Source organism: Homo sapiens, chromosome 17 (assembly GCF_000001405.40).
Source record: "Homo sapiens chromosome 17, GRCh38.p14 Primary Assembly".
In the NCBI taxonomy this organism is placed as follows: Eukaryota; Metazoa; Chordata; class Mammalia; order Primates; family Hominidae; genus Homo; species Homo sapiens.
Genome location: NC_000017.11, coordinates 14,834,133 through 14,846,709, shown reverse-complemented (window position 1 = coordinate 14,846,709; position 12,577 = coordinate 14,834,133). Strand labels below are relative to the sequence as shown.

Sequence of the window (12,577 nt, the reverse complement as noted above, 5' to 3'; positions counted from 1 at the left end):
ATCACTTGTGCTTATTAATACAGGAAAAGTGGCCCCTCTTTATATAATTGGTTTAAGTACTTGGACTTGTGTTTTCCTGTTTCCTTATGAGTATTTCACAAGCTAATCACGTTTTTTTCTCTATGCATTAAAGCAAGACCCTCTCTGCACATCTTCCCTTCATCTGTTAACATTGTTTGTCCAGCCACCCCCATTTATGGAAACACTTACTGACAGTCTGGTGTTTGCTAGGTAATATACGGCAGGACATAAAATGACAAAGAGTCTTTGCTCTTAATTTGGCCAGGAAGCACTTAATAATGAGGACTTTTTTTTTTAACAAAGAAAAGGTAAAGCAAATTCTGAGTCTTCCACTTTTCACCACTTCAAGCTCTTATTTCTGGCTTAAGGACATTTTATTCTGAATATAAACTATTTCTCAATTAACTGAGGATAAAGTAGCAGTGGCCGCTTCCCTTCCACCCCCATTCTCTATCATGCATCTATCACAAGCAAAACCTTAAGTGAATGCCAGGATTATGACATCTGCATAATTTACATAGTTGGCCTCCATGTGTCTGCATCTGTCTGCATGTCAGTATGGCCTCTCCCCATGTGCAGGTTGAAACTGCCGATTTCAGATGTCACGTTCCTAGAGAACAAGCAAAGCTCTGTTCCACTCTGCTTGCCAGTCCCCACGACAATCCTGCACAGGTGGGAGCTGGCTCCCTGATGATAAAGTAGTAATGAGCACCTAATTATGGATAATTGCATAATGAAGGGCTCTCTCGCTTCTGCCAGTTCACATTTGCAGCTGGTACCTGAACGATTTCTGCTTGTGGCAACAGGTTACTTTCTTCTGGAATCATGCGACGGAAAAAAGGCAGCATGCCAGCACACCAGCATGGATTAAATTATCCCCAACAAGTCTGTACCTGATTCCTATTTCTCAAGGGCAGGATGGGGAACTTGACTAGTCATTCTCATTATCCAGGGAGATTAGTTTGCACTCCCAGGCTATGGACTAATAATAATGTCTTCCATTTGGAGAAGGCTTTAAATATTCAGGCTATGCAACCACACCCTTCTGAATTTCTGTAACAAGCTGCCCATGTGCCAGTCTGTAACTGCAGCAGTGTGCAGTAAGCTGTAGCAGTGTTCTTCAAATTTGTCTGCTTATAAGACTCACCTTGTACATGTATTAAAAACATGCATTTCCCAATGCTCATCCGGACGTACTGAATAAAAATCTGCCAGGGTAGTTAAATAGACTCAGGTTCTATTCCCAGATCTGCCACTAATCATGACCTGGGTAAGTCACAACTTTTGTGGGTGTTAGTTTTCTCAACTGTGATATGAGATACAGAACTCCAAGATCTATGAATGTGATTAGATAATACATTATTCTCCAGATAGGAAGTGTTACTCGACCACTCTCCTAAACCAACCACTGATTCAAAGTGCAGCCGACTGCATTTTTCTAAAAAGACTGCCAAAAAATATTTCCCATTCTATTTTCTTCCTCCCTCCATTCCTCCCTTCCTCTCTTCCTTTTCCTTTTTCTCTCCTTTCCCTTTCTTCTCTCTCATCTTCTAGTGTGATCTTGATTCATTCAATTGAATAAAGATCTTTATTTTCTCCCCTAGAATTTGGGTGCTCTTGTGACTCTTCAACTTCCAAAGGTAGGTAATAAAATGTGATACAGTTTCCTCTTGGTTCTCTTAGGATGCTGACACTTGGAACCCAGCTACCACGCTGTGAGGAAGCCCTAGCAGCCTGAGGACGTGAAGAGACACCATCCTGCAGTCTTGGCTGAGCACCAATTTGCCAGCTATGAGAGTGGGCCATCTTCACAGTGGATCATCTGACCCCCAGTCAAGCTGCTCCAGCTTATGCTGCATGTAGACTGGACTAGCAGTCTTCACATAGTCCTTCCCAAATTGCAGTGTCGTGAGCAAAATAAATAATTGTTGTCTTAGCCTGAAGATCTGCGATGGTTTGCTACTCAGCAATACAAAACTGATGGACCACATGACTGAGTGTAAAGTATATATTTGAGCAATGAAAATAAGATGGGTGAGTGGTATTGGGCCCAATTATGGATAACCCTTATGAGGGAATCAGATGTGTTCTACTTGGCAATATTAATTATAAGAGATATACCAGATGGAGGAGGTTAGAAATGACATTAAGAGGCCAGGCGCGGTGGCTCACGCCTGTAATCCCAGCACTTTGGGAGGCCGAGGCGGGCGGATCACGAGGTCAGGAGATCGAGACCATCCCGGCTAAAACGGTGAAACCCCGTCTCTACTAAAAATACAAAAAATTAGCCGGGCGTGGTGGCGGATGCCTGTAGTCCCAGCTACTTGGGAGGCTGAGGCAGGAGAATGGCGTGAACCCGGGAGGCGGAGCTTGCAGTGAGCCGAGATCCCGCCACTGCACTCCAGCCTGGGCGACAGAGCGAGACTCCGTCTCAAAAAAAAAAAAAAAAAAAAAAAGAAATGACATTAAGAGACCAGAATTATGGTTAAGAGGCCACCTCATTAACTCCAGCATGAGTTGATAAAGTCTAGCATTAGGTCTATCATGGTAGAAAAAAGCAGATAAGGCAGTTGAGACATTAAAAATTACCAATAGTACACATTTTCTGAATAAAAATGAGCTATGAGGTTGGGATTAACACTGCTGAGTCTTTCAGCTTTTTTTTTTGAGATGGAGTCTCATTCTGTTGCCAGGCTGGAGTGCAGTGGCACGATCTCGGCTTACTGCAACCTCCACCTCCTGGGTTCAAGCGATTCTCGTGCCTCAGCCTCCCAAGTAATTGGGACTACAGGTGCATGCCACCACGCCCAGCTAGCTTTTTTGTATTTTTAGTAGAGATAAAGTTTCACCATGTTGGCCAGGATGGTCTTGAACTCCTGACCTCGTGATCTGCCTGCCTCGGCCTCCCAAAGTGCTGGGATCACTGGCATGAGCCACCGTGCCTGGCCAAGCTTGTCTTATTGAGAATCCTGGTACTCTTGACAATAATGGGAAAACTTGGAAACTGGCATAGGAAAATCCTTCCATTACTAGCAAGTTGAGTCAAGTTCAAGTCAACTTGAATTTACTGAGAGTTTCCATAATGACAGACATCTGACCCATAGCAAACATAAGGCATCTGTAGACACGCAAAGGAGAAAATGTTGGGTGAGGTTGGAGCATTGTCAGGGGCATGCAGGAATGTCAGTCATCCACAAGGCCTTGTCAGGTGGAGTTTTTGGGTGAATTTACTCTGGTCCAGGGTTTGGTTCTTAGCCTGACAAGTTTAGAAACTTGTCCTTTCAGCGTACTGGGACTGAGGGGAAAACACATTAATCAAACTCAAAAGACTGAGCTATAAAATCAGTGTTCTAATTTAACCATTTATAACAAAAGATGTGTCACCCGCCTGGAATATGCCTTTCAGCATGACCAGCACATTCCTTCCTTATGGGCAAACCTACATATGAAGCCAATTCATAATCATGAATCTTGTTGGGCATGAAATCAAAAGGGGAAGCAGCTGAAGTGACCGTCTAATTAGCAAGCCTAGAATGCCTGATGCAGATATGTCCGTGATAAGGTGGGCTTTCAATGGGCACGAACTACACAACTCACCTGTCTCCCTCTCTCTCCCCTAGACTGTGCCCAAGGCATTTAGAGACACTTTCTCTGAACTTCATTAGAGGAACCACCACGTCCCTTTTAGAGTGACGCATTTCGCTTTAGACAAGGGGCTACAGTAAAATGTCTGGGATCATTTTGGTTTTTCTTCCCTAGGGTCTCTCTGGCTGAATCCATTTTACAGCAATTTCAAAATACTAATGGAACTAATCTAATTTTCAAATTTTTGTTGGGGTAACACCTTGTGGTAGTTCTGACTATATCCAACCAAATAGAGCCATTTTAAAGCTGTTGGAATTGGAAAAGAAAGGAAATTTCTGCGAGAAAGAGATTTCTAAGCCAAAGAAACAAAGGGGATGGTTGGAGGTTCGGGGGGGCTCTTCCAAGGAAAACTGCACAGAGGGGAGTAAAAGAGTTAAAACTTCAGGAACATAAATGTGGGAAACATAATGTGTAGGCTAACAAGTACCAGGGCAATGGGGACAAGTAGTGACAACTGTCCAAGGGGTGAGAAAACGTTTGTGACAGAGAAGGTAAAAAAGGTGTAGGTTATCGGTGTAGCCACAAGGAAGTCTTACAACAGAGCTTCTTTGTATATTTCAGCTTGTTTCCTCTTCAAGAGTTTATTTCTAGACAGTGTCCCTGAACTCTGGGGATGCCAGGTGAACACCTGCCAGTCTCAACAACCAGGTCTGTTTGATTTTCCATGTGGCTCCTTATAAAAAAATCTTTTAACGGAATCAACCTAGGTGTCCAACAACAGAAGACTGGATAAAGAAATTGTAGTATATATTTTGGAATGGAATACTATTCACCCATTAAAAAATAAAATCCTGTCATTCTTGGCAACCTGCATGGAATTGGAAGACATTATGTTAAGTGAATAACCCATGCATAGGAAGTTAAACACTGCATGTTCTCACTCATATGTGGAAGCTAAGTAAGTTGATATCATAGAAGTAAAATGTGCAACAGAGGATATTGACGGCTGGGAATGGGAGGAGATGAAGGGGGTGTATAGAGATTTGTTAAAGAATACAAAATTACAGTCAGAAAGGAGGCATAAGTTCTAGCGTTCTATTGGACTGTAAAATGACTATAGTTAACATAGTTTCCAGTAGCTGGAAGAGGGATATCAAATGTTCTGAACACAAAGAAATCATAAAGGCTTAAGATGACCCATATGTGGCCGGGCGCGGTGGCTCACGCCTGTAATCCCAGCACTTTGGGAAGCCAAGGCGAACACATCACAAGGTCAGGAGATTGAGACCATCCTGGCTAACATGGTGAAACCCCGTCTCTACTAAAAATACAAAAAAAGTAGCTAGGCGTGGTGGTGGGTGCCTGTAGTCCCAGCTACTCAGGAGGATGAGGCAGGAGAATGGCATGAACCTGGGAGGCGGAGCATGCAGTGAGCTGAGATTGCGCCACTGCACTCCAGCCTGGGCAATAGAGCGAGACTCCATCTCAAAAAAAAAAAAAAAAAAGAAAAGAAAAAAGAAAAAAAGATGACGGATATGTTCATTACCCTAATCAAATCACTATACATTATATATGTGGAAACATCACTAGGTACCCCATGAATATGTACAATTATATCAATTTTAAAAATAAAACAAAAAAGATCTTTTAGAGCAACAGGTATGTCAACTGTAATTAGAGATACATTTAAACGCTACCTTGGGAGGTAAGTTTAAGCGCTTGGCTATAATTGAGGTGCTTTGCATTTATCAGTGCTGAATCTAATCTTGAGGTTTAGGTGTAAGAGTTGATCTAAATGTTGCTTCTGACTTCCCCTGAATCTGTATTTTGAAGTCTGCACAAAAATTCAGAACAAACTTTCTAATAAAAATCCTCTCAGCAGTTTTCTCTTACCTCTAGAAGTTTATCTTAGCAGCCTCAATCATATATTACTTGTATACCATAATCAGGATGTTACGACTGTATAAAACATAAACTTTGCATTCTTTATGTATTAGTGTCCCACCAAGTATCACTATAGGATCCTGTGTTTTTTCCTTAATCAGACATTTTCCTGACAATTTATTATCCTAAGAGGACTGAAACAGCCTCCTTTCTCCTCTTCTCCAGGTCTTCTTTATCCAGTAATTACATGATTTGACAAAATGGTAGCAATCCTCTTAAGAACTTATTTAATGACTTACTCTTGATGAAAAACTAGGTTTATACCAGAATAAGTAGGGGAGGCTGACTCTTGGCGCACATACAAAAATTTCCATTTAAACAAGAATTTAACATATATTATTTTTAAACAAAATGACTAAGCACCGGGGCATCTATAATTTGAAGAAAGATTCCAGATTTACCACAAAGTATGTGACAATCTTTATGAATTCATGTCAGTTAGTGGTAAGAAAAGTCAAACTGAAGGGAGTTCTGAAAGAAAATACTGGTTAAAAAAAATTGTGTCCCAGAATAGTCTCTCTAAATTGTCTTTAGGTAACAGTCTCTTGGCCTTTTGACTAAATTCTTTCCTTCCTTAGTCTGTTCAGGCTGCTATAACAAAAATACCGTAGACTGGGTGGCTTATAAACAACAGAAATTTACTTCTCACAGCTCTGGGAGCTGAAGTCTGAGGGTAGGGTGCTGGCATGGTGGAATTCTGGTGAGGACCCTCTTTTGGGTTGAAGACTACGGACTTCTCTGTCCTTATGCAGTAGAAGGTGTCTCTCTAGGGCCTTTGTTTCTAAACTAGTTTACTAATTATTTTAAATTGACAAATACTTGTTTTGAAATATGCTTACACTGTAAAATGGCTAAATCAAGCTAATTAACAAATGCATTACCTCACATACTTTTTGTCGTAAGAACTCTTAGAATCTACTCCCTTAGCAATTTTCAAGAATGCAACGTATTGCTATTAATTATAGTCACCATATTGTACCACAGAGCTCTTGAACCTATTGTTCCTAACTGGTTTTTTCTTTTGATCAACACTTACCTCACATCAGGCCTCTTTCACTGATCCCATTCACCAGGCTCCATCCTCATGACCTAATCAACTCCCAAAAGTCTCACCTTTAAAAGCGTTAAAGCCTTTAACACTGTTGCTGCTAGCATCACTTGATCATCAATACTTTTCCAAGGGAAATTAACCTGTAAAAAGAAAAAAAGATTCAGTAAGACTCAAAAAATATATATAATGCTTTTTTTAAAAAAAAGGAATTATTAATTTAAATAAATGTTTTTCCCTACGGCATAGGACTCTTAGTTGGAACAATCCTTCAGCTTACCACATAAGCAATTATTTTTTAGCCCTCATATTAGTTCATTCTCATGCTGCTACGAAGAAATATGCAAGACTAGGTAATTTATTAAGGAAAGAGGTTTAATTGACTCAGTTTCACAGGCCTGGGTAAGCCTCACGAAACTTACAATCACGGTAGAAGGGGAAGCAAACACATCCTTCTTCACGTGGTGGCAGGAAGGCGAAGTGCTGAGCAAAGGGGGAAATGCCCCTTATAAAACCATCAGATGTCATGAGAACTCACTCACTATCATGAGAACACTGTAAGGGTAACCGCCTCCATGATTCAATTACCTCCCACCAGGTTCCTCCCATGACCTGTGGGGATTATGGGAAGTATAATTCAAGATGAGATTTGGGTGGGGACACAGCCAAACCATATTAATTCCTAAAATAGACCTCAGTGAAATTAGAAAATATCTCAGTTCCATAGCAGACCAAAACATGAGGGAAAAAGAAAAAGCTTTTTTTAAAGCCTGGAAAAAAAAGGAAGAAAAAGATTTTTAGATATGGACAACAAATCCCTCAAGTTGGCTAATTTCTAGGACCTTCACAAATATTTCATGGACTCATTATCTTTCATAAATTAGGCATTCCCTGTGACTGCATGACCTATAGATCTACAAGGTGACAAGACACCCACACCCAGCCCCCAGATAGGGGTTGTTTACCAAAGGACCAGGGAAACATCTTGTATTTCCAGACTTCCAGAAAGCTCTTTTTGGGCTTCTTCCCTCTCAGTTCCCCAGCCCCTGAAGCTTATGACTCCCCCTGCTGCAGTGATAGGATTGTCCTGCTCTTTTCTTTCAGGATATTTTTCCTGTTCCAGCAGACAATGTCTTTGAGAGAAAGTAACAGAACCTCTGACAACTTTGGCTTTGCAGAGCTCAGCAGTAAGATATGCCCTATGCCCCTTCCCCAACCTGTCTGGTCTGCAGTCTTTTTCCATCCTCTTCCCAAACCTATCTTCTGTCTGGGCCTTCTCCTTGTGTCCTGGCTCCTGACTCATCCTCCAGAGGTCTTGGGGAGGGCTTCACATCATGCTGTAAACATGCCTGTGCAAGAAGTATTTTTGCAGACAAAGGTGACCAGTGCTCAGCAGGTCTGGCATCAGCACATCCCTATGGTTTGCCAGGGCAGAGCAGGTCTAAGATCAGACTCTGAGATCCAGAGAAAGGAGGCTTACTGCCGTGGAGAAATGCCTCTCATCTGTACTCTGCCATTTTGTGGGCCTCAGGTGAGTTAACTGCTTACAAAACTATCCCTGGCCACTGGGGAAGGCAGCGGCGTTCAAAGAGAAGATGTCATTGACAGGTTCCATCAGCAGCTGTTTTGTAACAACCTGCTTGTGTGCCAGGTATGATTTATTGCATTTGAAACAACTTCTAAAGCCAAATGTTACAACCATTTCATTCATCATTAGATCCAGGTACAACATAGTGCATCACCCATTGTTCTTGTGGGGAAGAAGTGATGGCTAGATATTCTTGCAGACTCCAAAACAAAAAATGTCTGCCTCTGCAGAGAACTTAAGTGCCACCTGCCATAGGAGACCAGGCCCTGGGTATTAAAATCCACTGCACTGCCTTCAGGAAACCTACCCATCCATGTAGAGTGACCACGGGGTGTTCAGTCTCAGAAATGAGACAGTGCTGAGCTGGGGGAAGTGCTGCTTGTTCTACTGAGCAGACGTCGCTGGCAGGACCAGTCCAACAGCTGGAGATGTGAGTTGCTGCCTCACTGCACAGTCCCTCAAGCCCCAGGCTCCATGGGATGGACAGAGAAGCATGGAAATATTAACGGTTGGGTGCTTATCGTGGGCCTCAGAAAATGCAATTCTCCCGGTTGTCCAGAGAACCAAGGACTATTATTCCACTCTAAAATGAAGAAACAGACTAAGTGAGGTGAGATGACATATGTAACAAATGGTTCAGCATTGAGACCCTTAAGGGAGAATATCAAAGGCACCTAAGTACCCAAGGATTCTAAATACCTACTAGTTCACAGTCCTTTAAATTGGTAACCCTCAACTTAGAATGGGTTTTTGGTATGAAAGGTTTATGCTGGACTTTCCAGAATAACTTCTAACCTGTAATGGAAGATTTCACTTTTGAAGGATTCGTCTCCTGAGTGGATCATAATCTAAGTAGGGATTGGCTACACTTTAGAATCACCTGGAATATTTGTTTAAAATACAGATGTCCAAGCTGTTATCACGAAAGATTCTGATTTAACTGGTTTGTGGTGGGGTATTTTTTAAAGTCCCTCAAGGGATTCAGACATCCAGCCAGGATCTGGGCACTCCTGAAGGTGGATGGAAGCACTCCCCTGAGTCTGAGGGGACACCCTGTGACTTTGTACTCTCCTTCCCATCCCTTGTGGACTACACCCGTCTTTTTGACCAAAAATTGGATCTGAGAGGTGAGGGTGTGGTCACTATAAAAGGCTTTGGAAAGTTTGCAAAATAAGTAGAGAGCTTCCATTTGTCCTTGGATGGGACAAGTCAAGTGGCTCTGAGAGACAAGGGAGAGTCTTGAAGTTGGAAGACAACTGGTTTAGAACAGGCAAGAAACAGAGGGGAAGGAAGCCCTGGATTCAGTGGAGAGTTGACTCAGTGGGCATCTCCACTCCTTTTGCAATGTTTTGGGTAACCTCACGACTGACGGGGTTCAATTGTAAAGTGATGCCAGCCTATTCTCTTAATACATCTGTGAGTAGGGCAACAAATTACTCATTGGAACACATTTTCAAGGGGGAAAAAATGATGTGAGTGGTCTCTTTGGGGCATGTAATAAGCACCTGCTGTACCAGGAGACAGGTCTATGGAGACCTGCTAGCCTGTTGAGGACTGCCCTTTCCACAACGTTCCATTACACTGAAATGATTGCTTCGGCAGGGACAGACACATTTGCTTAAGAGCTGTGTTTGCTTCCAATTACTCTTATGACAAGTTACCACTAATTTCGTATCTTAAAGCAACACACATTTATTTTCTTACAGTTCTGAAAGTCAGAATCGTAAAATAGGTTAGCAGGTCTGCATTCCTTCTGAAGGCTCTAGGGAGAAGGCGTTTCCTTGCCTTTCCCAGCTTCCGGAGGCTTCCTGCATTCCTTGGCTCACAGCTGCATCACACAACCATTGCTTCTGTTACCACATCACCTTCTCTGACTCTGACCTTCCTGCCTCCCTCTTATAAGGCTCCTTACAATTACATCCGGCTCACCAGATAATCCAGAATAGTCTCCCCCCTTCAAGATCCTTAACTTTGTCACATTTGATGTATCCCTTTTATCATGTAAAGAGACATATTCATAGGATTGGGGTCTTAGGACATGTACATCTTTAGGGGGCCACTGCCCTGCTGACCAGAGGAACTTATATGGGCAGGAGATGAATCAGGACACCTAGCGTTCTGAAATTCAGTGTTATCAGAGTCTCACTCATGGATTGAGACGGTCCCAAATAAGTCCCCTGCCAGGAAACGATGCTAAGGTCCCCACAGTGCATTGCCCTGTGGAGGAAGGGGTGTCTATGTGGGTTGCCTAGCAATGCACGTTAGGCAGAGGAAGAATGAGAGACCTGCAGACCCCGCCACTCTGACACACGGCCATGCTTTGGGAACAACGTCCTGGAACAAAAGAGCAACTTAGTTGAGCCCAACTCAGGGAGTTCATTGGCGATCTGCACCAGCAAGTGCATCGCTGTAGCAGACGACCTGCATCTGCGTGGTAGATGTACCTGACAGCAACCACTTAAGAACACCCGGGGCTGGGCACGGTGGCTCACGCCTGTAATCCCAGCACTTTGGGAGGCGGAGGTGGGCGGATCACGAGGTCAGGAGATTGAGACCATCTTGGCTAACACAGTGAAACCCCGCCTCTACTAAAAATACAAAAAATTAGCCAGGCGTGGTGACGGACGCCTGTAGTCCCAGCTACTTGGGAGGCTGAGGCAGGAGAACGGCGTGAATCCGGGAGGCAGTGTTTGCAGTGAGCTGAAATCACGCCACTGCACTCCAGCCTGGGTGACAGAGCGAGCCTCCGTCTCAAAAAAAAAAAAAATAAACAAACAAAATAAAATTTAAAAAAACACCCTGAGAACAACCCTGTATGGCAGATGCACCTGAATGTTTGTTCAGGGTTCCAAGCTAAGGGAATTGGGAGTAGCCAACCTGGAAATTCCTTTTTTTTGAGATGGAGTCTGTTGCCCAGGCTGGAGTGCAATGGCACAATCTCGGCTCACTGCAACCTCCGCCTCCCGGGTTCAAGAGATTCTCCTACCTCAGCCTCCCGAGTAGCTAGGATTACAGGTGCCCGCCAGCACGCCCAACTAATTTTGTGTATTTTTAGTAGAGACAGGGTTTCACTACGTTGGCCAGGCTGGTCTCAGCCTCCCAAAGTGCTGGGATTCAGGCATGAGCCACTGCACCTGGCCAATTCCTTTCTTATCTATAAGGAACTTTTAAGTCCCTAGCTCACCCTGTTAAACACAGATAGGCTGGTAGAGGGGATCAAGGCCCTTTGGGGTTAAATGAAGCTTACCAGGTGGCGGTTGTTAACGGGAGGGTGCTAAGTGAAAATGCCATATATTCTATGCTTTTTGCAAGTGGTGGTGGTTCTTCCATCCAGCTTGCCGCCACTGAACCACTCTATCTGTAAGTTTCCCACTCATAAAACCCCATGTCTCACTTGTTAGCTCCAAGGTTCTGGCTTCCTGAACCTGACGCTATGCCTCTTGCGATTAATAGGGGTTTGGCACCACAGGATCTACAAGAGGATTGACCTCTCTGCCCCAGCGCCTCTTTGGAGGCAGCCACCAAATAACTCGTGGTGGGGACTGGTCAGTAGCAGAAAAAGGGAAGAAGAAATAACTCACAAAACGGATGTGTCCACAATTGGTTCCTTTCGGTGCGCTCTTGGTCTCGGCGACTTCAAGAAAGAAGCTGCGAGGGTGGACGCCACGGACCGTCGCGGTGAGTGTTACAATTCTTACATTTGGTGTGTCCAGAGTTTGTTCCTTCGGAGTCTGGAGTTTCTTCCTTCCGGTGGGTTCGTACACTCGCTTGATTTCAGGAGTGAAACCACAGACCTTCACCGTGAGTGTAATAGCTTTTAAAGACGGCTGGGACCCAACAGTCAGCAGCAGCAACATTTACTGCAAAGAGCAAAAGAACAAAGCCTACACAGCAGAGAAGAACACCCAACCAAGTTACCGCTGTTTGCGCGGGTGGCCAGCTTTTATACCCTTATTTGTCCCCACCCACATCCTGCTGATTGGTCCATTTTACAGAGAGCTGATTGGTCCATTTTACAGAGAGCTGATTGGTCCATTTTATGGAGAGCTGATTGGTCCATTTTTGCAGAGTGTTGATTGGTGTGTTTACAAACCTTTAGCTAGACACAGAGCGCTGATTGGTGCATTTACAATTCTCTAGCTACGCAGAAAAGTTCTCCAAGTCCCCACCCGACCCAGAAGCCCAGCCGGCTTCACCTTTCAGTGAGACTTGAGACTTTCTGCTAATATGTACAGATGGTATGTGTGCAACTATGTGCAGAAATAAAAGATTGACCACATTTGTATCCCAAGGTGGTGACGGGTGGGGGGGGGATGTGAGACCAGAAACCAGTGCTTTGAAAATCTGATGAAGGCAAGCCCAGGATGAGAGGACTGAGGCTTCATAGCTGG

General features: G+C 43.7%; 1 long non-coding RNA gene across 1 annotated transcript in view; it reads right to left on the bottom strand.

Moving 5' to 3' along the window:
- LINC02096 (long intergenic non-protein coding RNA 2096) overlaps positions 1–12,105 on the bottom strand; it is a 65,950-nt gene extending 53,845 nt beyond the window's left edge. The window contains exons 1-3 of the long non-coding RNA XR_001753053.2: positions 11,768–12,105; positions 8,494–8,769; positions 6,587–6,741 (exon numbers count right to left, since the gene is read on the bottom strand). This is a non-coding gene — a long non-coding RNA (long intergenic non-protein coding RNA 2096). The remainder of the gene's footprint in view (positions 1–6,586; positions 6,742–8,493; positions 8,770–11,767) is intronic.
- Between the last annotated feature and the right edge of the window lie 472 nt (positions 12,106–12,577).